Source organism: Homo sapiens, chromosome 14 (assembly GCF_000001405.40).
Source record: "Homo sapiens chromosome 14, GRCh38.p14 Primary Assembly".
Taxonomy (NCBI): domain Eukaryota; kingdom Metazoa; phylum Chordata; class Mammalia; order Primates; family Hominidae; genus Homo; species Homo sapiens.
The window spans coordinates 75,154,247-75,179,547 of record NC_000014.9 but is presented as its reverse complement, the minus strand read 5'-3'; the positions used below and the strand labels follow the sequence as shown (position 1 = coordinate 75,179,547).

At 43.0% G+C, this 25,301-nt stretch overlaps 1 protein-coding gene across 1 annotated transcript in view, besides 2 other annotated features; it reads left to right on the top strand.

The window, feature by feature from the left end:
- Positions 2,540-3,112: an enhancer, noted in NCBI's record as "H3K27ac hESC enhancer chr14:75643139-75643711 (GRCh37/hg19 assembly coordinates)". NCBI's record gives its function as "activates a minimal SCP1, AML or CMV promoter by ChIP-STARR-seq in naive H9 embryonic stem cells {active_cell/tissue: H9 hESC(naive)}" and the evidence as "EXISTENCE:reporter gene assay evidence [ECO:0000049][PMID:30033119]".
- Positions 2,786-3,025: an enhancer, noted in NCBI's record as "active region_8738". NCBI's record gives its function as "activates an Ori minimal core promoter by ATAC-STARR-seq in GM12878 lymphoblastoid cells {active_cell/tissue: GM12878}" and the evidence as "EXISTENCE:reporter gene assay evidence [ECO:0000049][PMID:35858748]".
- TMED10 (transmembrane p24 trafficking protein 10) overlaps positions 2,936-25,301 on the top strand; it is a 45,144-nt gene continuing 22,778 nt past the window's right edge. Inside the window, exon 1 of the mRNA NM_006827.6 lies at positions 2,936-3,193. Coding sequence (NP_006818.3) covers positions 2,969-3,193 — 225 coding nt within the window. The 5' untranslated portion in view covers positions 2,936-2,968. The remainder of the gene's footprint in view (positions 3,194-25,301) is intronic.

The following is a 25,301-nucleotide window of genomic DNA, read 5'->3' as shown; positions in this document are numbered from 1 at the left end:
CTCTAGCCTGGGCAACAGAGCCAGACTCCATCTCAAAAAAGAAAAGAAAGGACTTGAGAGCTGTGACACAGAAAAGTAACTGCTGTGCATCTGAGTTTCTTCATCTTTAAAATAAGAAATAATAGCATCTTCCTGAGGATAGCTCAGGCCCCTAGACTGCTTTTGTCACTTTTAAGCTTATGAGGTTTGGGGTACTGACAAAGATTCTCTCCTTGACCAAACTTTACCCACGCTGTTCTGATCTGTCTTCTCAATAGGCTCTGACTTTTGGACTTCCATGACTCTGCATTGTCCAATTTTAGGAAGAATCCTGCTAAGTTAGTTTAGCCAGAATCTCCCCTTACTCCCAATATTTCCTTTTAGTAATTTTCCATCCACTGACCCTGATTTTTGGCTGTAAATCCCTACTTTTCCTTGTATTTGGAATTGAGCCCGATCTCTCCTTCCTACTACAAAACCCCATTGTCATAGGCCCTTGTATTACCTATCTTGGCAGTCCCCCTTGAATAAAGATTTGCTTTACAATTTTTTTTTTTTTTTTGAGAAGGAGTCTCGCTCTGTCGTCCAGGCTGGAGGGCAATGGTGTGATCTTGGCTCACTGCAACCTCCACCTCCTGGGTTCAAGCAATTCTCCTGTCTCAGCCTCCCAAGTAGCTGGGATTACAGGTATCCACCACCATGCCCGGCTAATTTTTTGTATTTTTAGTAGAGATAAGATTTCATTATGTTGGCCAGGCTGGTTTCGAACCCCTGACCTCAAGTTATCCGCCCGCCTTGGCCTCCCAAAGTGCTAGGAGTACAGGTGTGAGCCACCGCCTCTGGCCTGCTTTACAGTTCTTTAACAAATGTCATGAAGTATTTTTTCTTTAACAGTATAATTATTTGGCCTCTCAGAACCTCGGTTTCCTCATCTGTAAAATGAACAGATTGTCCAGACTATTTCACAGGGTTTTTGAAAATGTCAGAGGAGATCATTATGATATGTGAAAATATTTTAAATTGCATTATCTATTATGTAAATGTAAGATGGAAATTTAAAGGAAACACATACACAGTTTTTTCATGGGTTGAGATCTCTTGCTATTGGTCAGCAGAGCCTCAGGAATGCAAGTAGACAATGAATTAGATAACTGCTTATACTGATTCCCTGCATTGGCAGGGAAAAGGCCAATGCAAATTATCAGGATGTACTGTGTGGACTACCAATCTTATCTTAGATCAGTGATACAACAATCCAACTAAATGCTCCTAAGTGGACACCTCATAAAATAATTATTGTATGGCATTTGTCAAAATTTTAAATGCTTTACAGCTCCTTTGTTTGTTCTTGTTTTGTCTGTGGGATTTCATTTCTAGGAAAATAACTAAATGGACTAAGTTTAAAAAAAAAAAACACCAATCATGTACATTACTAAGGGCAGACAGTCCATCTTCTGGATATTTCTGAAGATGCTCAATAAACGTTAATCAAAGTAGGTAATGATTCCCAACATGGGCTATTGTGTCTTCCACGTTTATTTTCTACACTTGATGTTAGCCAAAAGGCCAAGGAGCAATTCCATTTTCTTTCTTTCCTTCTTTCTTTTCTGAGACAAGTCTCACTCCGTCGCCCAGGCTGGAGTGCAGTGGCGCCATCTCAGCTCACTGCAACCTCCATCTCCCGGGTTCAAGCAATTCTCTGCCTCAGCCTCCTGAGTGGCTGGGATTACAGGCGCCCGCCACCAAGCCCAGCTAATTTTTTTGTATTTTTAGTAGAGACGGGGTTTCACCATCTTGGCCAGGCTGGTCTTGAACTCCTGACCTCGTGATCCACCCGCCTCAGCCTCCCAAAGTGCTGGGATTACAGGTGTGAGCCACCGCGCCTGGCCGTTTATTTTAATATATTCTTCAGCTCTGAATATTTGCTAGTATCCCAGTAATAGTTTGTTAAATCAATAAACGTGTTGACATACATGCATAGCATAATGTCTGGCACACAGTAGGTACTCCATTGAATGAATGCATGAATTATTACCGTGTCAATTTGCTTGTCTATTTGCAAATGTTAATAGTTAATTTGATCCCTAAAGTGTTTGTGAACTTAAAACACACACATACGCACTTTCCCTGACAACGCTTATCTGCTAACCCCTTAATTATGTTCATCTGAGACTGGACCAAAACATGTTGTTTTATTCAATTTAAATACCAAATTCAAATTTATTTTGAATATAGCTTAGAACACATTCAATGTTTGCTAAAATAATAATAATAATAATAATAATAATAATAATAATAATACCATGTACATTCAGTTAGCCAGACAATTACTCCAGCCCAAATACCCTGCTATGGGACATGAACCGGATGTCTGCCCGGCACACATTCATCAGGTGACCCCTAAAACTTCTTCTCTAAGGTCCACACTGTCTAATAGCCAAGTTGAAATCTTTCCTCGAAATTTTCCTCTCTAGTGTCTCAGTGCCCCAGGTGTCATCAAGGTGTCAAAGGCGCTTGGGAGTGCCTGCAAACCGCCCCATCCCCGGAGACACAGCCTCATTCCCCGCCCTCGCGCCTAGGCGGCCGGTGGGCGGGCCCAGCGAAGGGCCTTGTGGCTGTTTCCTATTGGGGCTTGGTTGCTATGGTGTCACTCGCCTTTAAACTCGTGGGTACATCTTTCGGAAATTAAAGGAGAATTACTTCCAGGGCTGCCCATACTTGCCATGGCCGACTCAGTAGTCACTAACTTCAACAAAAATAAAACTGTTGCAATAGTATTCTATTAAAGCTTCTTTAACTGCTTAAACTTGCGGTTTTGACATGGTACCTATCCTTTCTTCCCTTTTCAAAAGATTCGCTATAGAGTCTTTCTCTACATGCCAGTCTCCAAAATGGCGCGGACGGCATCAGAAGGTCAGAGGTGAGTCACGTGGGTCCCCCCGGTTCCGGCGCGGTTGAGGCCTTCGGTGGTGAACGAGTCTCCAGCACCATGTCTGGTTTGTCTGGCCCACCAGCCCGGCGCGGCCCTTTTCCGTTAGCGTTGCTGCTTTTGTTCCTGCTCGGCCCCAGATTGGTCCTTGCCATCTCCTTCCATCTGCCCATTAACTCTCGCAAGTGCCTCCGTGAGGAGATTCACAAGGACCTGCTAGTGACTGGCGCGTACGAGATCTCCGACCAGTCTGGGGGCGCTGGCGGCCTGCGCAGCCACCTCAAGGTGCGGCATTGGGCGACGTGGGGCCGGGAGGGAAGACGGCAGGCTTAGGCGAGGGGAGGCTCGGGTTCGGGGGAGTCGGGCCGGCGGAGGCCTGGGAGTTGTTCTGGCCTCCCGGGAGCGCAAAGGACGTGCGGTGGAGCCCGCCCCCTCACCCCGCTGGTTGCCTGTCGCGGGGCGGGGCGGGTCACCAACGCCTGGGAACCCCAAGAAGGGCTGCGAGGCTTTGGCGGATGTGGTGACACCTGAGCTGGGGCGGTTGTCAACGTCCTATACCAGTTTTGGTCTCAGATACATTGAACCGTAATTTGGTTCTCCAAATAAATGTTGGGGTGTTGAATATTTATACGGATTGGCATCATAAGATACCGCGATACCTGCAGGAAAGTAAAGGAGACAGAGCTAACCGTGATTAATAAAATGTTATTTATTGAGCATCTGCTGTGTCAGTTACTGTGCTACTTTGCATATATTACCATTTGGTTCATGCACTACCCTATGAAGTAGGTAGGTACTGTTAGCCCCATTTTACAAATGAGGAAACTGAGACTCAGAGGTAGGATAAACTAGTAAGTGTCACAGATGGAATAGATTCTTTTTTTTTTTTCAAAATTATTATTATACTTTAAGTTCTAGGGTACATGCGCACAACTTTCAGGTTTGTTACATATGTATACATGTGCCGTGTTGGTGTGCTGCACCCATTAACTCGTCATTTACATTAGGTATGTCTCCTAATGCTATCCCTCCCACCTCCCCCCACCCCACGACAGGCCCCGGTGTGTGATGTTCCCCACCCTGTGTCCAAGTGTTCTCATTGTTCAATTCCCACCTATGAGTGAGAACATGCGGTGTTTGGTTTTCTGTCCTTGCGATGGAATAGATTCTTACTTAGTTTGGTAGTTAAGTATGTTGAGGGAAAAGCGCTGCAACCTTATTCCTTCCTTGTTTTAAATTTGTAATTTCTGTAGTTGATTAAAGTCGATTATTGGTTACAAAATGGTCTCAGTCTCTAGTCCTTTTTCTTTGGTATGCCAGAATCTGGACTTGGCTCTTTTATGTAAATACCAACTATGCTCTTGGATGGTGACAACTACTGCCATAATACCAGTTTGATTCTGTTTTGTAGCTAAGAGTAGCCTGGCCTGGTCTTTGAGACATTAATATAATTTGATATCTGTCAGTATTTGGTTGCATTTTAGGTAATTTTATTCATTCACAATAAGCAAAGTGTCTTTTTTTTTCTTTGTAACACAATGGGGCTTTTGTTATACTAAATAGAAACATTTTTACTTTTTTTTTTTTTTTTTTTTTTTTTGAGACGGAGTCTTGCTCTGTCGTCCAGGCTGGAGTGCTGTGGCGCGATCTCGGCTCACTGCAGCCTCTGCCTCCCGGTTTCAAGCAATTCTCCTGCCTCAGCCTTCCGAGTAGCTAGGACTACAGGCGCCAGCCACCACACCCAGCTAATTTTTGTATTTTAGTAGAGATGACGGTTCACCATGTTGGCCAGGATGGTCTTGATCTCTTGACCTCGTGATCTGCCCGCCTCGGCCTCCCAAAGTGCTGGGATTACAGCCGTAAGCCACCGCGCCTGGCCTCGTTTTTACTTTTTAAAAGGGTTTCAGATATAATAAGACCATAACTTATGTTAAAGTAGTGGAACCCAGTAGTGTGGTAATACATGTAATTTATTTCTACTTTATTTGGGAGAGACAAACTATTTTCAGGGCAATTAATCTGTGACCCATCATTTTATTATTCTGTTTGGGTATCAAACTCTCTACCCAGGAAAATAGTGATGGCATGATTTTAGAAGCTTAGATATAGTGTTTCCGGGGTGGGAGATCATGCTTCCAACTCTTCAGAGGATGTTCATGGACTCAGGGAATTTCAGCAATGAAAGAGACCTTGCTCTCATCTCGTGTTGCTGTCTGATTTGTTCTTATATTTTAAAGCCCTTCAGTGGCTCACTATTGCTTATTGATAGTTTAAATTTCTCAACATGCTTTGTTGTGCTCTTCATGATCTGTTTCTGAGCTATACGTGTGGTCACTTCCCACTTTGCATTCTACATGGAGCCACCCTGGACAGTACCCTGAACTCACTTATTTTCTGAACTGTTTTTGTTTATGCCTTGACCTACTTACTAGACTGTTAGTATCCTCAGGGTAGGAACTATTTTCAGGTTCATCTTTTCTAGAATGCCAAGCATGTTACCTTGCTTCTAGTAAGTACTCTATAAATAACAGGAACTGTAGTTTAGCATGGCCTTATGGGAATTACATTGAATTTAGGGCTGCTGAAGGCACCTCAACAGCAGGACTTTAGGCCGGGCTTGGTGGGTCATGCCTGTAACCCTAACTCTTTGGGAGGCCGAGGCGGGTGGATCACCTGAGGTCAGGAGTTCAAGACCAGCCTCAGCAACATGCTAAAATCCAGTCTCTACTAAAAATACAAAAATTAGCTGGGCATGGTGGCGTGTGCCTGTAATCCCAGCTACCCGGGAGGCTGAGGCAGGAGAATCACTAGAACCTGGGAGGCAGTGGCTGCAGTGAGCTGACACCGTGCCACTGCACTCCAGCCTGGGCAACAGAACAAGACTCGGTCTCAAAACAAAACAAAACAAAGCAAAACAAAAACCAGCAGGACTTTGTGCACACACCCTAGCACTTTACTATCACTCAGTTGCTCTCCTGTGTCTGCTCTGTTCTTTTGCTACTAACCAGCTTAATGGAACCACAAGGGTCCTAAACCCAAATGCCAAATAGGTAATATCATTGAATAAATTGGACCAGGTATTTTAAAAAAAAAAGCAGTGATGATAAATGGGAGAATAATTGGACGTAGTAGAAACTGTTAATTAGGGGTGACCAATACTTAGTTCTTGATGAGACTTGCCATGCAAGCATGTGGGCCTTTTTGCCACATCTGATTTTTCCCTTCCCCTCCCCTCCCCTCTTCCTTCCCTTCCTTCCTTTCTTCCTCCCTCTCTCCCTCCCTCCCTCCAGTGGCACCATCACAGCTCACTGCAGCCTTGACCTCCTCAGGGCCCAGGTGATCCTCCTACTTCAGGCTCCTGAGTAGCTGGGATTACAGGCACATGCCACCATATCCGGCTAGTTTTCATATTTGTTTGTAGAAATGGAGTTTCGCCATGTTACCCAGGCTGGTCTCGAACTCCTGGGCTCAAGTGATCCGCCCATCTCGGCCTCCCAAAGTGCTCGGATTACAGGCATGAGCCATTGCACCTAGCCCACATCTGATTTTTCAAATGAAATAGGAACACCAGATTTTGATGTGAAAGCTCCAGACTTTTAAATTTCATCAGCCAGGTTTCAGCACTGCAGAGCTTGGGAGCTCCCGGCCCACCCGAGGGCCATGGATCTCATTGTCCTCACCACTGCTTTGCCACTCCATTTTCCTCAATAAAATGGTTTGGCCCCCTAAAAATTAAAAAAAAAAAATTTCACCAGCCAATTCAGATTGGTTCGGGCATTGATTTGTTTTCAGTGTTATAGGGAATAGTATAGTGAGTTCACCTTTCTACCCATTACTCATATTCACCAATTATCAGGATCTTTCCACACGTGTCATCTTAACTGCTTCTGCCATATCATTTCATGCTAAATTGTATTAAAGTAAATCCCAGATGTCATGTATTTCATTCCTGCCTACTTCAGCATGCATCTCTTTAAAAATATAAACCACAATGTTACGTGGCTAATCACGCCTCACAAAATGAACAATGATGGCCAGGCGCGGTGGCTCATGCCTGTAATCCCAGCACTTTGGGAGGCCGAGGTGGGCGAATCACGAGGTCAGGAGTTCGAGACCAGCCTGACCAACACGGTGAAACCCCGTCTCTACTAAAAATTTAAAAAAAAATTAGCTGGGCGTGGTGGCACACATCTGTAATCCCAGCTGCTCTAGGCTGAGGCAGGAGAATCTCTTGAACCTGGGAGGCGGAAGTTGCAGTGAAGTATGATTGTGCCACTGCACTCCTACCTGGGCTACAGAGTGAGACTCTGTCTCCAAAAAAAAAAAAAGAACAATGATTCCTTGATACCCAGTCCATATAGTATGATCCCACTTGTCTCAAAAATATCTTTTGAAAGTTAATTTGTTGTCTCTCTCAAGTGTCTAATCTAGAGCAGTCTCCTCTTCCTCTCACCTCCTTTTTTATCCTTGCAATTGAATTGTTGGAGTCAATTGCTCTTAAAAGAATGTACAGCATTTCGGAGTTGTCTTTTGCTTCCTAGAGGTGTCTTTTAACCAGTTCTTCCACTATATTTTTTGTAAAAGGAATCAGCTGTAAAGATGTAACCAGAGGTTCAGCAAACCACCATGGCACACGTATACCTATGTAACAAACCTGCACGTTCTGCACATGTACCCCTCCAGAACTTAAAGTGTAAAAAAAAAAAAAAAGATGTAACCAGATTCAGGTTTAATCTTTCTGTCGAGGGTGTCACTGCAGGAACACACAGTACTTTTTGTGCCCCTTATTGCTGCTGCTAAGATTGATAAGTGGATTAAGGTGTGTCTTAGTGTCCTATTGCTGCTGTAACAAATTACCACAGATTTATGGCCTAAAACATCAGGGATTTGTCTTAATCGTTCTGAAGGTCAGAAGTCCTAAAATCAGGGTTTTGGCAGAGCCATGTTTCTTCTGGAGACTTTTTGGGAGTGGGGTGGGGATCAGTTTTCTTGCCCTTTCTAGCTTCTAGAAGCCACTTGTATTCTTTGGCTCATATCTCCTTCCTCCATCTTTAAAGCCAGGCTGGGCGCGGTGGCTCTCGTCTGTAATCCCAACGCTTTGGGAGGCCAAGGCGGGCAAATCACTGAAGGTTAGGAGTTTGAGACCAGCCTGGCCAACATGGTGAAACCCCGTCTTCACCAAACATACAAAAATTAGCTGGGCATGGTGGTGCACACCTGTAGTCCCAGCTACTCAGGAGACTGAGGCAGGGGAATCGCTTGAACCTGGGAGGCGGAGATTGTAGTGAGCCGAGATCGTGCCACGGCACTCCAGCCTGGGTGACAGAGCGAGACTTTGTCTCAAAAAAAAAAAAAAAATTAAAGCCAGTAGCATAGTATCTTTAACTCTCTCCCTTTCCTTCCCTTTTCCATCCTCTGCTTTGTTCCTCACCACCCCTTCTTCCTCTCTTCCTCCCTCCTTCCCCGGCTATCATCATCTCATCTCATTCTCTTACTCACCTGCCTCCCTCGTTCCCTTATAAGGACCCTTGTGATAATCTTCTCCACCTCAAGACCCTTAATCTGATTTAATCACATCTGCACAATCCCTTTTGCCATGTAAGATAACACATTCGTGGGTTCTAGGGATTAGGATGTGGACATCTTTGTGTGTGGGAGGCATTTTTTTCTCTACCCGGGTGGTAATAGCCCAAAGCCTTCATTGTAAAGTTTCCCATTAACCTTTCACTTAGGAATCCACTGATGACTACTGTGTGCATTTATTATGTCATTAAGGTTGTGAAATGATGACTTTCTAATTCCGTTACTCCTTCCATATTTATTAGCTGAAATTATTCTTAAGGAATTAATATCATCTGATTATCCTAAAATTTATCATTCACATTGGTAGGATAAATGCAGAATTTATTTCTTCTAATTGATAATTGTCAGAGTAAGGAATTGTTGCCCTTGTCATTTTCAGTGTTGTCCAAGAGTTTTTGGGTTTTTTTTTAAAGTATTTTACTGAACTCTTTTTAATTGTTGGCTTCAACTTTTAGAATCATTGTGTTTTAGGCAGTTGTTTCCATTCTTTATGCCCAATTTGTCCCTTTGGTTCCTTCATATTGGCTCCTGTATTTTTTCAACATAATCCTGTTAGGTTTTGATAGCATCCTTGTTTTCTGGCACAACAAAGTGTTCTAGGCTTATCTTGTATATGTCTATCCTCTGACCTCAGAACAACTGTTTCTCTAAGGAATTCTAGTTCCTTTTTGTGGGGATTGGTATTTGGAGACCACAAGCTAGGTGTCATTTTTGAAAATGTAATATACCATGCAAGCCACAGAACACATTTGTGAGCAGATGCAGCCCATAGCGGCTTTCAGTCTTTTTCATGGTGTCCGTTCACTTAGTTCCACTTTTTCTTTTTTTGTTGAGATGGAGTCTCGCTTTCACCCAGGCTGCAGTGCGGTGGTGCAATCTTGGCTCACTGCAGGCTCTGCTCCCCGGGGTTCACACCATTCTCCTGCCTCAGCCTCCCAAGTAGCTGGGACTACAGGCGCCCGCCACCACGCCCGGCTAATTTTTTGTATTTTTTGTATTTTTTGTATTTCACCGTGTTAGCCAGGATGGTCTCAATCCCCTGACCTCATGATCCGCCCGCCTCTGCCTCCCAAAGTGCTGGGATTACAGGCATGAGCCACCACGCCCGGCCGTTCCACTTTTTCTTATATTTTGACGACTGCTTCAAGGATTCTCCCTATGCATCATTTTAGCTTCTGGAGTGCAACTCCTAAGTGCCAGAGCTCCTTTTCATATGGTAGGCCACATTCTAGGTCTCAGTTCAGCCAATGGATTGTCTTGTCTTTGGTCATATTTCCACCCCTGCTTTAGGCAGCTGTGGTTTGATTTGAGGTAGGAGGAGAACTGGAGACTGGTGCAGAACCTGGCCAGCTGAGCTTAGCATTTGGTGGTTGTGCTGAATGAGGCAGTCTTTTTTTTGAGATGGAGTTGCGCTCTTTTTGCCCAGGCTGGAGTGCAATGGCATGATCTCGGCTCACTGCAACCTCTGCCTCCCAGGTTCAAGCAATTCTCCTGCCTCAGCCTCCCAAGTAGCTGGGATTATAGGCGCGTACCACTACTCCCGGCTAATTTTTGTATTTTTAGTAGAGACGGGGTTTCACAATATTGTCCAGGTTGGTCTCAAACTCCTGACCTCAGGTGATCCGCCCGTCTCCCAAAGTGCTGGGATTACAGGCGTGAGCCACTGTGCCTAGCCTGAGGCAGTCTTTCTTATAAGGGTCTCTGTGAATATAGTGCCTTGGTTAATCTGACTGATTCACCTTCTTTCTGTCTAGGAACATCTCAGTATCCAGTGAATGCACCTATGTTATCATATACCACTCTGTGTTGCAGTTGTGTATTTGCCCATCTCCTGGGATAAACTATAAGCTGCTTGAACAGAGACTAGGTTTCATTCATCATTGCAATGCTTGTCTAAAATAAGGCCTGGCACATAGTAGGACCTTATCCTAAGGAATTAGTGAACAGACGAGCAAGCACTGTCTTTGCCTCATCTCTGATCTTTCCCTCTTCCATTCTCTTTATTTGCTTCCTCCCACTCTGACTCTAGCTATACTGAACACCTTACAGTTCTTTGAATATAATGTTCTCTTTACCTGGATCAATGTTTGACTTTCTGTGTCCCCTATGTGTCCCATTGGCTTATAACTTCTTTTTTCCCCCTCACCAAAAGTTGTATGAAAAGATACTGTAGTACCATTACATCCTGTTTTACATGGCACTTTTCATGTAGTGTAGTGTTTACTTTGTGAACTCTTTAATGTCTTACTCATCTTTGTGTCTTTAGTTTAACGTACACATTGTTGTATAACTGAGTTAAACATCTTAGTCTTCTTGAGAAGCCTTGTGGTATGGTAGAGACTAGATCTGAAGTAAGATAGATTTGGTTCAGATCCCAGCAGCTCCACCATTTAAAGGTTATGTGGGTCTTGCAGGGATTACTTAACCCTTCTTCTCTGGTCCTGTTTCTGTAATATGGGAATCGTAGAGCTCATAAACTTGTTAGAAGGACTGATTGAGATGGGTGAGGTTTTTATTGTGCAGGGCCCATTATGGTGCTCCATAGATGTTAGTACTCTTTTCTTTCCTCTGTATTGAATGAAAATTGAATTGCTTCTCAGAGCCCCTCATGCTATATGTCATTGAAATAAGTAGATATGGAGTATTTTAATGAGAGGAATTATGAGTAGTTTGTGATTCTTTCATTCATTCAACAAATATTTATGTAATATTTAGTATGTGTCAGACCTGGCTGAGAATATGGGGATAAACGGGACAAGGTCCTCAAGCTCTTGTGGGGAACAAAGACAAAAAACAAGTTAAAATAATAGAATTTCAGGTAGTGATAAGCACTATAATGAAAGTTCAGGCACTAGGGAGTAGGGGGTGACTGATGGGTTAAAGGGTGTTTGAGTGGTCAGGGGAGGCCTTTCTGAAGCAGAGAGAGATAAATGGATTGAAATGATGGGTGGTCCTCTCCTGCAAAGATTTCTATTTCAGACCTATATTGAGATGCATTTTGTGTTAAGATCTCCAAACTGAGTCTATTCCATACTTCCCTACTCATTTCATAAAGTGAGGCTAAATCAGGCTAACTAGTGTCAGGTATAAAGACTTTGCTGCACATAATTGAAGCAGGAAGTATCAACTCGTCATTTACAGTGAATATAGAAGTTTCCTCCATTACTTCAGGTCCATAATAAAAGCCTGTTGTAGGGACTCAGAAATTTGGGTAATATTTTTATTATTATTTTGCTCTGGCTGGAGTGCAGTGGCATGATCATAGCTCGCTGCAACCTCGAACTCCTGGCCTCAAGTGATCCTCCCACAGCACTGAGATTACAGGCATGAACCCCTGCACCTGGCTGAAAATTTGGATCTTATACCAAGTTATGATTTCTGTCCTTCCCAACTAGCTTATAGATAAGAAAGCCAAACAGATCCCTTAAAGAGTTCAGCCTTGAATCACAGGCCTACCACAACTTAAGCCTAAAAATTATGAAGAAGTAACTTGGCAGTTGGGAAACTATTGGCTTATAACTTCTTTTTTCCCTCACCCAAAGCTGTATGAGAAGATACTATAGGCCAGGCATGAGGACAGAGAGGAGAGGGAGGAGGAAGGAGAAAAGGACAGTGGTGGGGGTGGGGGCGAGGAGGAGAAAAGAGAGAGAGGCAGAGGGGCGAAGAGGCAGGGGAGGGAGGAAGGAAGGAAAAGATGGTATATATGCTATAGTTTTCAGATTATTTTGTTTGGAATTACTGTATTTCAGCTTTTTTATTACTGGTATCTGTACTGAGGTCTGTTCTGTGCTGACAAGGAGAAAGAATAGGATGCTTCGGCTGGGCGTGGTGGCTCACGCCTGTAATCCCAGCACTTTGGGAAGCTGAGGTGGGTGGATCACGAGGTCAGGAGAATGAGACCATCCTGGCCAACATGGTGAAACCCTGTCTCTACTGAAAATACAAAAATTAGCCAGGCGTGGTAGTGTGCACCTGTGGTCCCAGCTACTCAGGAGGCTGAGGCAGGAGAATCGCTTGAACCTGGGAAGTGGAGGTTGCAGTGAGCCGAGATCACGCCACTGCACTCCAGCCTGGGCGACAGAGTGAGACTCCGTCTCAAAAAAAAAAAAAAAAAAAAGGAATAGGATGCATGTTGCTCAGTCATCGAAATGAACCATCCTTTTTATCAATAACGATCCCATGAACCCTTACTTATGCCAGACTTTTTCTGTAGGGAGAAATATGGCCCTTTCAGCGTGAATTTAACGTGACTGTTGTTCACTGGGTTAGAAACAGGTCAATAAATAGATGGTTCAGTACAGAAGGCTAATTGGTACATTGACATTTAATAATATAAATCGAATTTCTTTTTGTATTATATACAAAGTTCCTAGCTTTTAATTATAACTTGACCTTTGCGTCCTTCTCCATAAAAGTTAAAGGATACATTGCTTCATTTAAATCTCTCTTATTCAGTAAACAGTTGTCTACAGCCTTCCCTGTTTTGAACTGATCTAGAGAAGGGGGCTGCTTCCAGTTTGAAATTGCTACACCATATCTTTATGCTGACTTCTGAAGACTGAGTCTGGTTTCTAGGAAAGTGGAACAAATATATAAAGGTAACCCAGTAGGGGTGCAGTGACTTCTATGCTGTTTCTTGTGTGAATTGCTGACTGGTAGTTTGATCCTGAGCCATTGCCCCCATATGCATATAGAGCCTGGCAGCCTGGACAGTAGAGCCCTCTGTGAAATCAGCCAGCTGGCCACAGACCTGAACTTGGGCTCCCAAACAAGTCTCCGACTTGAGGGAGGTTGATGTCATCTGCTTTATCCTGTGCTCCCAACCTCATTGTTCAACATAAAATGTGGGAAATCAAGGGAATAGTTGTTAAGAAAGAACAAGACTTTGTTTGTGCTCATAATGAAAGGGTCACGCTGGAGGTTTTTACCGTAAATAACTTTGGAACAGTATGAAAAAAAACATTTGATCTGGCTTCACCCCCGCAGTAGTATTGTTAGGGCAGCAACGGGTCTTTCGTTCTCGTTCCCCTCCTTTCCTCCCTCTCTTTCTCCCCTTTTCTTACCCCCCCACTCCTCCCCCAAGTCAAGCATGACGTATTGCCTATGTTAAGTTAATGTAGCAAATGCTGATAGAAGCAGGAAGAGAGCATCTATCCATTATCATGCCAGTGCCTGGAAATTTGCTATTTCTGGTTTTCAGCATTTCTAGAAAAAGCCTCCTAGCCTCCTTGATCATATTTTAGCTTAAGCAATACTTATGTACTATGTTATACTATCAGTGAACTGTACTAGAAATTTGAAAGAATTTAGTGTTGCCAAATGCTGCCTGTGGGCTAAGTTTGACTTTGTTCTGGGCAAAATCTAGATGTGATCCTTTTATTTCAGGAATATATTTGATAGACTTTGTACATGCTTTTGTTTAAAAGATCAGCTTAAATTCATTTTATGCCCATTAAATGTAGCACCTAAGCCGTCAGAGTTTATGTTTTTCGTTTTTGAGATACAGTGGTCCCTTTTGAAAGTGTTTCTGAGGCTGGGCATGGTGGCTCACGCCTGTAATCCCAACACTTTGGGAGGCTGAGGTGGGAGGATCACAAGGTCAGGAGTTCGAGACCAGCCTGGCCAACATGGTGAAACCCTGTCTCTACTAAAAATACAAAAATTAGCCGTGCATGGTGGCGTATGCCTGTATTCCCAGCTACTCGGGAGGCTGAGGCAGGAGAATCGCTTGAACCTGGGAGGTGGAGGTTGTGGTGAGCCAAGATCATGCCACTGCACTCCAGCCTGGGCAACAGCGTGAGACTGTCTAAAAAAAAAGAAAGAAAGAAAAAGAACATGTTTCTGATATATTTTTCTATCTAAAGCCATAGCATCTTTAATGAGTTGGTGTTCTTTCTGCTTTTTTATATCTTAGGGGAATAGACCCTTTGGCTCAGTATTCACTTGTGAATTCTTATGAAGAGTAGAGATAATTATATATGCAACCTCAATCCTCTCTCTCTTTCCGCCATATCTAATGTTGGATTCTTCATGTAGTTTATTCCTTATTAAGTTAAAAACCACATACAGGAAAAGCTGGCATCATCTTGGATTCCTTACTGTCTCTCTTTTTATCAGCTAAAAGGATCAAACATCTGCTTTCTTAGGCATTTTGTATCCTTTCATTTTCTAAATCTTGCTGCTGCTTCCTTGAGAGTGTACCTGACTACCCCTTTCTCTCTGTTTCCATGCAATAGCCATTTGGGCCCTAATCATCCCTGGATTTAGTGAACATAGCACAATTTATCTAGTTTGCCATCCATTAGTACTCTTAGGTTAGAACATATGGTTAATGGGCCAGAGATGGTGGCTTACGTCTGTAATCCTAGCACTTTGGGAGGCTGAGGCAGGCGGATTGCCTGAGCTCAGGAGTTTGAGACTAGCCTGGCCAACATGACAAAACCCCGCCTCTTCTAAAAATACAAAAAAAAAAAAAAAAATATATATATATATATATATATATATATATATATATATATATATATTAGGCCAGGTGCAGTGGCTCACGCCTGTAATCCCAGCACTTTGGGAGGCCGAGGTGGGTGGATCACATGGTCAGGAGTTCGAGACCAGCCTGGCCAACATGGTGAAACCCTATCTCTACTTAAAAAATAAAAAATTAGCCGGGCCTGGTGGCGCACACCTGTAGTCCCAGCTACTTGGGGAGGCTGAGGCAGGAGAATTGCTTGAACCCGGAGGTGGAGGTTGCAGTGAGCTCTGATCGTGCCACTGCACTCCAGCCTGAGCAACAGTGCAAATCTCTGTCTCAAAAAAAAAAAAAAAAAAAAGCCGGGCATGGTGGCATGCATCTGTAGTCCCAGCTACTCTGGAGGCTGAGGCACAAGAATTGCTTGAACCCGGGAGTCAGAGGTTGCAGGGAGCTGAGATAGTGCCACTTCACTCCAGCCTTTACGACAGAGCAAAACTCTGTCTCAAAAAAAAAAGGAAGAAAATGTGGTTAATGACCTAAATATTTATGGAGTTCTGAGTTATCACCAACAGTTATAACAATAATATAACACCTATTGAATGCCTGCTATGTGACAAACACTGTTCCAGGCAGTTTACCTGTATAACATTTAATCTTCACAGTAGCTGGGCGTGGTGGTGTGTCCTTGTAATCCCAGCTACTCAGGAGGCTGGCACAAGAGGATCTCTTGAGCCCAGGAGTACATAACCAGCCTGGGCAACACAGTGAGACCCTATCTAAAAAAAAAAAATCCTCACAATAACCTTATGATGTATGTACAACTGTTGTCCTTATTTTACAAATGAGGTAGACAAGTTAAGGAACATGCCCAAGTGTTTACAGCTGGTAAACGGCACACCTGTGATTTGAGCACGGACCAGAAAGTCTGACTCTAGAACCTTCCATCTTAAAAGTACTATGTTGTATGGTCTCTCAGAGAGAGAAAAGGCTAGCTATTCCTGTTTCCGTTCTTTTTTTTTTTTTTTTTTTTTTTTTGATACGGAGTCTCACTCTGTCGCCCAGGCTGGAGTGCAGTGGCGAGATCTCGGCTCACTGCAACCTCTGCCTCCCGGGTTCAAGCGATTCTGCTGCCTCAGCTGCCTGAGTAGCTGGGACTACAGGCGAGTGCCACCATGCCCGGCTAGTTTTTGTATATTTAGTAGAGACAGGGTTTCACCGTGTTAGGCAAGATGGTCTCGAACTCCTGACCTCAAGTGATCTGCCTGCCTCAACCTCCCAAAGTGCTGGGATTACAGGCGTGAGCCACCGCGCCTGGCCCGTGAGTTTTTTGTTTGTGTGTTTGTTTTGAGACAGGGTCTTGCTCTGTCACCCAGGCTGAAGTGCAATGACATGATCACAACTCACTGCAGCCTTGACCTCCTGGGATCAGGCAATCCTCCTCCCTGAGGCTTCTGAGTAGCTGGGACCACAGGTATGCACCACCACACCAAACTAATTTTTTTTTTTTTAATTATTTTTAGAGGCAGGGTCTTCCTGTGTTGCCCAGGCTGGTCTCAAATTCCTGGACTCAAGTGACCCTCCCCTTTCGGCCTCCTAAAGTGCTGGCGTTACAAGGTGTGAGCCAGTGGGCCTGGTGGACCTTGTGAGTTTTGAGGACCCTGGCCAGGTATTTTGTAGGTTGCCCTCTATTGGGCATTTGTCAGATGTTTTTCTCATGATAAGGTGAGGTTATGGGTTTTGGGGAGGAAGACCACAGAGATAAAATGTCATTTTTTTTTTCTTGTCAAAACCATGATTCACTTATAAAGTGTCATTTTCATCACATCATATCAACATGATTTGTCACGTTGATACTGCCCTTGATCATTTGGATGAATTAGTGTTTGTCAGGTTTCTTCACTATACAATATTCTTTTCTTTCCTTTTTTCCCCCTTAATGATGTTTTGGTCAGTCCACTACAGAGTAACTCTTTTTTCCCCCTTTCTATTCTGTGTTCTTTAGAAGGAAGTCACTTTATGTAGCCCACACTTAAGGAGTGGGGAGTTATGCTTCACACTCCTTACGGGTGCCTACATAAATTATTTGAGAATCTTCACGGAAGATTTGTCTCTCTTCCTTATTTATTTATTTAATCAATCATTTATATGTAAGTGTAGATTCATGGATGTTTACTATGTACTTTGGATTATAAACCAGTACTATAATTGTTGCCCTGATTGTTTCAGCTTTAGCTATTGGGAGCCCTTTAGGTTCCTGTGTCCCTTTGACATACCCGCATTCTTGTATTTTTTGGATTTTCATTTTTGTTTGTTTGTTTGTTTTGAGACAGAGCCTTGCTTTGTCACCCAGGCTGGAGTGCAGTGGCATAATCTCCTCTCACTGCAACCTCTGCCTCCTGGGTTCAAGTGATTGTCATGCCTCAGCCTCCTGAGTAGCTGCAATTACAGGTGGGTGCCACCATGCCTGGCTAATTTTTGTATTTTTAGTAGAGATGGGGTTTCTCCATGTTGGCCAGGCTGGTCTTGAACTCCTGACCTTAAATGATCTGCCCCCCACCCCGCCCCGGACCTCTGGTTTTTGTTTTTGAGCACTTCTTACTTTCTGGCACTATAAGATGCTCCAGGCTCATTTTGTACATTTCCTTCCTCAGTCTTAGGATCATTTCTCCAAGGAGCCCTGGTTGCTTTTATTGGAGAAGGGAATTAAGTCTGGGTGGATAGTGTTATTTTTAAGGCATCTTTTTCTGGTACCTTTTTTTTTTTTTTTAAATGCAGTTGTGCTAGCAAGTGGCCAAAAGTAGTCCCGTCCTTCCTGCAACTTTAGAGTAAGGGTGGAATTCTGTGAGCAGCAGGAGTGGGCTAGGATGGGGAGAAATGTAGTGCTTAGGGGCAGGGCAGAGAACCAGGTCTCACCTCTGCATTAGATCAGGTCATTCATTGTTAGGGAGGGTCACTAAAAGAACTCATTTGAACTGTACTTGTATCTTTAGCAAGATGATGGTTGAAAATGAAGAGTCTGTTAGTTACAGTCCTTTTACGAGGATCTTCCTGATAAATTGTTGTTCGTGGTTACTTCCAGGAAAATTGTCCCTTAGATAAATTTGTGAGCTTTCATCAGAAAACAAATGATGTCTCTTTAGTCTTTTAATTTTGGCTTCCAGAAAACTTAGAACCAAATTTATTTTACAGATATCATTTGCTCAATTTAGGTTCTTGATAAGACTTTTTTCTTCCCTCAGGTGAACTCTATTCCATTTTATTCCTAATTGCCTTATTGACCTAAGCTACTTATAGATCCTTTTGAAGTTTTATTTTGAATGTTTGGTAAAGGAATGAGAGCAGGCTTCAGTGGCAGGACCTGCTCAAAAATCTGTTTCCAGCCACTGCCTAGCACGGTCCAAGAAAATCCAATTTTAAATGAGTTTATCTTCCCAGTTACCTGTTTTCGCACTTCTCACAGGCTCAGTGTGAGTATTCACATATTCTTGACATCACCTACTCTGCATATAAAATTAACACTTTTTTTTCCTTCTCTTTTTTTCTTGAGATGGAGTCTAGCTTTGTCGCCTAGGCTGGAGTGCAGTGGCACAATCTCGGGTCACTGCAACCTCTGCCTCCCAGGTTCAAGTGATTCTCCTGCCTCAGCCTCCTGAGCAGCTGGGATTACACGCGCCTGCCACCATGCCCGGCTAATTTTTTATTTTTAGCAGAGACAGGGTTTTGCCATGTTGGTCAGGCTGGTCTCAAACTCCTGACCTCAAATGACGTGCCACCTTAGCCTCCCAAAGTGCTGGGATTACAGGCATGAGCCACCGTGCCCATCCCCCCTACTTTTTAAGTTGTGAACTTTGTTTTGCTTTTCTTCAGAAGGTGATATCTAGAAACAAATCTTTATTACTTCCTATTCCTTGATGTCATATGGGCAAATTTTATAGCTTGGTATTACCTTTGTTTAATTAAAGAACTTTATTATCACTATTATAAGTATTTATTGTTAAAAGGAAAGAAAAGAATCCTTTTAAGGTCTTGCTATTATAGTAGGTAAAAGTAGCAGTTATTGATTCACCAAGGTGGTTCTCTAGGACAATTTAAGAAGAAAAAAAAAACCTCTCACTTCTTGAGAAACCAGATGACCTTTTAAGGTGATCTGTAATTAGAACATTTTAATGAAAGGAAATTAAGCTATCATTTTATTTTTTTAGCCTATTAGACTTTGCTGGCTCTGGTTAGTCATTGAGTTTGGCCCAGTTTCCTATTCCCTAATTTTAGCTACCTGGTTTATGTAATGATATTGGGGTTGGGAGATGTGATTTTTGTTTTGTTTTGTTTTTCTTTAAGACTAATGACTTGGCTCCTAAATAACTACAAAGTTATATGAACTAGATAGGAAACCTACTGATTTTCAGAAAAATCGTGAGATGTTTTAGAATGCCCAAACAGGCCATATGAGTGAGCCCCACCTGAAAGTTCAGTTGTCAGGTTGCCTGCCTGGATTTCCAAATATCCAGATAAATTCCCTCATGTAGTTGTGTCATCTGAAGGTTATAGGGAGTGTAGACATGTGGAGGCCTTGGGCGAACTTCCAGCATCATCACACACTATTTCTGGGAGGTAAATTTCATGTTGATAAAAGGTGCAGGCTGCAGTGGCGGGCCCTTTGCCTTCAGCCTCTTGAAATGAATTTCAGTTTTTGCCTTAAAATGAGTCTTTAATAATCTTCGGATGTCATAGAGAGAAGAGACAATGCAAATGGTTCTTCTGTGATTGCAGTTCCTCAGTACAATGTGGTAGAGGACAATTTAAATAGTATTTACCCCTTTGGAGTACCAGCTGGAGATGTGATTTTCCTGAAGTCTTTCAGAAAAACATAGCAGATTTCTTAATTCATTTTGTAAGGTACTTTTAGCAATGACTTAAGAATTTTATGACGTGCATTTAAGCTCCTTTATGATGTAGAGAGACTCCTCTCCTTAAGTTAAAATAAAAAAAAGTTTTTGAAGGACACTGTTCATATCTTGGAGGAAAATTAAGAGATTATAATCTCTTCTTCCAGGAAATAAGGTGGTTGGGCAAATGTGTGCAAATCCTGCAAACACTGTTAAATTCAGTTGTTTGTCCTAGGCCAATGACTTAGTCTCTTTCCTTGCCTTAGCATGGAGATGATGAAATCTGTGATGACTCTTTTCAGTACTTTCACCTTGATGCTTATTCCAGGCTGTCCTCTACCAGTTTCACTTACATTTAGACATTTTCAGCAACCTGTAATTATTAGCCTTCTTCCTTCAGAATTAAGCCAATGCAATGAGCAAATCTGGAAAGTTATGTTACCCAAGTTCAATGTTGTCTGCAACTTTATTCTTAGGAGGAAAGTCCAAATCCAAATTAGGGTCTCTAGATTGGCTTGGAATGTGAAAAATCTGTTATTCCTGCTGTCTACCTTTTTGAACTTCTTCTTTGCTCTTAAATTTTGTCTTTATGCTTTATAAAGTGAGAATCTTGGGGAAGTGAGTATCTTTGTGGGTCAACTGATTCTGAAGAAAGGAAGAGAGGCATCACACTGATGACTACACATTACTTTGTGATTTGGTTAGTTCTCAGACCTTTTTGACTGATATGTGTGTATCCAGGGTTCTAAGGTATTTATTTATTTATTTATTTATTTTGAAACGGAATTTCACTCTTGTTGCCCAGGCTAGAGCGCAATGGTGCGATCGCGACTCACCACAACCTCCATCTCCCGGGTTCAAGTGATTCTCCTGCCTCAGCCTCCTCAGTAGCTGGGATTACAGGCATGCGCCACCATGCCTGGCTAATTTTGTATTTTTAGTAGAGATGGGGTTTCTCCATGTTAGTCAGGCTGGTCTCGAACTCCCGACCTCAGGTGATCTGCCCGCCTCGGCCTCCCAAAGTGCTGGGATTACAGGCATGAGCCACCACACCCGGCCCTCTGAAGTACTTTTTGGCTGGGCACGGTGGCTCATGCCTGTAATTTCAGCATTTGGGAGGCCAAGGTGGGAGGATCACTTGAGCTCAAGAGTTCGAGACCAGCCTGGGCAACATAGGGAGACCCTGTCTCTACAAAAAATAAGACAATTAGTCGGGTGTAGTGGTGCACACCTGTAGTCCCAGCTACGCGGAAGACTGAGGCAGAAGGATGGCTTGAGCCTACGAGGTTGAGGCTGCAGTAAGCTGTGATTGTGCAGCTGCACTCCAGCCTGGGCAACAGTGAGGCCCCCTCTCAAAAATAAATAAAAATAAAGTAGTCCTTTTTTATGCTGCTTCTTTCAGTTTATGATTCAGAAAAATTATCACACAAACAAGAGGCCTTTAAGAATCTTCAAGGCTAAATTTCCCTTGATTGTTTAGCTGATGCTAACTTCAAGGTCTTTACCTTGTGGCTGCCTGCTGATCTCTCTAAGGTGGAGAATGCAGACTGATCAGTGCTGTGTTAACACTTGAGAGGACTCTCAACTCTGATTTGCACTGATGCAAAGATTCTATTAGTCTTTCTTGGCCACTGTACATTCCTCTTTTTTCAGACATTCCTTTTGGGGGAAGGCAGCATGGGATGCAGAAAGAGAGTGGGTTTTGGACATTTCTCAAATCCACGTAACACTATTTATTTATTTTTACTTCTTTTTTTTTTTGAGATGGAGTTTTGCTCTTGTCACTCAGGGTGGAGTGCAGTGGTGCGATCTCAGCTCACTGCAGCCTCCGCCTCCCAGGTTCAAGCAATTCTCCTGCCTCGGCCTCCTGAGTAGCTGGGATTACAGGCACCTGCCACTACGCCCAACTAATTTTTGTATTTTTAGTAGAGACGGGGTTTCGCCACGTTGGCCAGGCTGGTCTGAAACACCTGACCTCAGGTGATCCACCCGCCTCGGCCTCCCAAAAGTGCTGGGATTACAGGTGTGGGCCACTGCACCTGGCTATTTATTGAGACATGTTCTCACTCTGTTGCCCAGGCTGGAGTGCAGTGGCACAATCACAGCTCACTGCAGCCTCGACCTCATGGGATCAAGCAGTCCTCCCATCTCAGCCTCCTGAGTAGCTGGGACCACAGGCGCATGTCAACCACACCCAGCTAATTTTATTTTTTGTAGAGACGGCATCCCACTATATTGCCCAGGCTGGTCTCAAACTCCTGGGCTCAAGTGATCCTCCCACCTTGAATTCCCAGAGTGCTGGTATTACAAGTGTGAGCCACTGCACCTGACCAACACGATTTATTTATTAACTGCTATAATGGACAAGTTACTAAGTTTCCTCATCAGTAAAACAGGAATAACAAGACCAGTTTCCATGGAGTTGCTGAGAAGATTAAAGATTATGTTTGTAAAGTATATAGCATGATTCTTTAACCCTTTTATCTTTCCAAACCACTCAGTTGCAGAACCCCAAGCTCCGATCAGTTCATGCATGTGCCTTTTCTTTTCTTCTGCATCCTGGCTGCTAGGTTGTACCGCTAGAAATGTGTGGTTCATTATCTTAGCTGAGATCTCAGTGCTACCCAGCAGTCATTCTATGTGATGTTAGTCAGCTTTCTTTCTGTCCTGTGGAGAGGGCAAAATTGTTGGCCCAGAAGAACTTGGTTCTATAGGTGTGTTTTGTTTTTCCTTGAGATAGTTTTTCTTTTCTTTTCTTTTCTTTTCTTTTCTTTTCTTTTCTTTTTTTTGAGACGGAGTCTTGCTCTGTCACCAGGCTGGAATGCAGTGGCGTGATCTCTCTCACCCTGGTTTCAAACGATTCTCCTGCCTCAGCCTCCCAAGTAGCTGGGACTACAGGCACGCATCACCATGCCCAACTAATTTTTGTATTTTTAGTAGAGACGGGGTAGGATGGTCTCGATCTCTTGACCTCATGATCCACCCACCTCGGCCTCCCAAAGTGCTGGGATTACAGGTGTGAGCCACCGTGCCCGGCCTGAGATAGTTTTTCAAATGTTGGGATTGGTTGTAAAGATTTAAAAATTAAGAGATTTCAAATGAAAGTTAAAATGTCTACCTTCTCTTGAAAAACTGGATGATCTGAAAACCTGGAGTGCCATGGCAGTCATTGGCTTTTCCTATAACACAGGCCATCTTTTCTAGTTTGCTGTGTATGGCTTGTGCTGGTCCAGTAGACTCAGTATGTTTCTCACTTGATCTCTGTGGGCATTTACTTTTTGGTTTTGTCCTGTAGACTCTACCTCCTTAAAATCCCTCAAACTCTTCAGTTCATGGGTTACTAAACTTTTTTGTAATTACATAAAATTATTTAATTAAATACAATTTAATAAACCTTAATAAAATTAAATAAAATTTAAAATTATTTTAATTAAATAAAATCTGTCACCTTCTCTCTATACTGAAGGCCCTTCTCCTTTCTTACCTGGAGTACTGGAATAGTGTCCCAACCCACCTCCTTATCTCTAGGGTTCTCTCTCTATAGTCTGTCTTCATAGTACTGGTAGCGTCATCTTTCTGAATTGTCATTGACTCACATCATTCTGTTTCAAATTCCTTATTGCCCTTCCACTTTGTACTAAATGAAGCTTAAACTCCTTAGCATGCTATTCTAGTTCTACATGATTGGGCCAGTACCTCTCCAGGCACTTAACCTCTCTGGGCCTCAGTTTCCTCCCATGGAACACGGGGGAAATAATTCTTGCCAGTAGGGTTATAGTGAGGATTAAATTTAAAATGCTTATAAAGCAGCAACACATTATTTGACACTTAGTAAGTATTCAGTAAATACTAGCTATTAGTAATATGATAATGCCATATTTTTGTTTTATGTTTTTCTGGACCCAGGCCTTCATATTTGCTGTCTCTTCTACCCTGAACTTCTTTACCCCTCTTTCCCTTGATTGAAATTCATCCTTTAGGACTCAGCTCATGTGCTACCCCCTCCTAGATACACTCCCTGACCCTCCATAATCCCATGGCACTTGTGCATACCTCTGGTAGCATGCCTTGCACATTGCAGTGAAGCGCTCTCTCTCTGTTAGCTTTATTGAGGTATAATTGGCAAATAAAAATTGTTTATATTCAAGATATATAATGTGATGTTTTGTTATACATACACATTGTGAAGTGAATACCACAATCAAGCTAATTAACATATTTCATCACCCCATACAAATGTCTAACAAATACATTAAAAGTTCCCCAGTATCACTAACCATCAGGGAAATGCAAACCAAAACCACTATGAAGGCATATCATTTCTTATCACTCTCCTCTCCTCATTTAGACTCATAAGCCCTTTGAAGACAGGAACTATCTTACTCATACTTGTATCCCAGTGACCAGCACAGGTCTAGGTATCTTAAATGTTTGATAAATTAGGCCGGGCGTGGTGGCTCACACCTGTAATCCCAGCAGTTTGGAAAAGCCAAGGCAGGCGGATCACTTGAGGTCAGGAGTTGGAGACCAGCCTGGCCAACATGGTGAAACCCCATCTCTACTAAAAACATAAAAATTAGCCGGGCTTGGGGGTGCATGCCTGTAGTCCCAGCTACTTGGGAGGCTGAGGCAGGAGAATCACTTGAATCCGGAAGGCGGAGGTTGCAGTGAGCCGGGATTGCGCCACTGCCCTACAACCTGAGTGACACAGCGAGACTCTGTCTCAAAAAAAAAAAAAGGGCCAGGTGAGATGGCTTACACTTGTAATCCCAGCACTTTCAGAGGCCAAGGCAGGTGGATCACGAGGTCAGGAGATCAAGACCATCCTGGCTAACACGGTGAAACCCCGTCTCTACCAAAAATACAAAAAATTAGCCGGGTGTGGTGGCATGTGCCTGTAATCCCAGCCACTTGGGAGGCTGGGGCAGGAGAATCGCTTGAACCCGGGAGGCAGAGGTTGCAGTAAGCCGAGATCGCATCACTGCACTCCAGCCTGGGTGACAGAGCGAGACTCTGTCTCAAAAATAAATAAATAAAAATAAATTTAAAAGTTTGACAAATTAGCAAATGGTGCTGGATGGCAGAAGACAGTTGACTAATACTACTGTTTATTAGGGAATTTAGAAGATGTGCCATAAAACTTTTTTTAGTTAATCTGTCATTTCAAATTTATCTAGTAGTGATAACTTTTCTTTAGTTATTATCAATTTTTTCCAAAATAAAATAACTTTATTATTATTTTTGAATATAAGTGATCCAGTGATACATGCCTTTTTTTTTTTTTTTTTTTTTTTTTTTTTGAGACAGAGTCTCGCTGTGTTGCCCAGGCTGGAGTGCAGTGGCACAGTCTCGGCTCACCGCAACTTCTGCCTCCCGGGTTCAAGCGATTATCCTGCCTCAGCCTCCAAAGTAGCTGGGATTACAGGCGCCCAATACCACTCCTGGCTAATTTTTT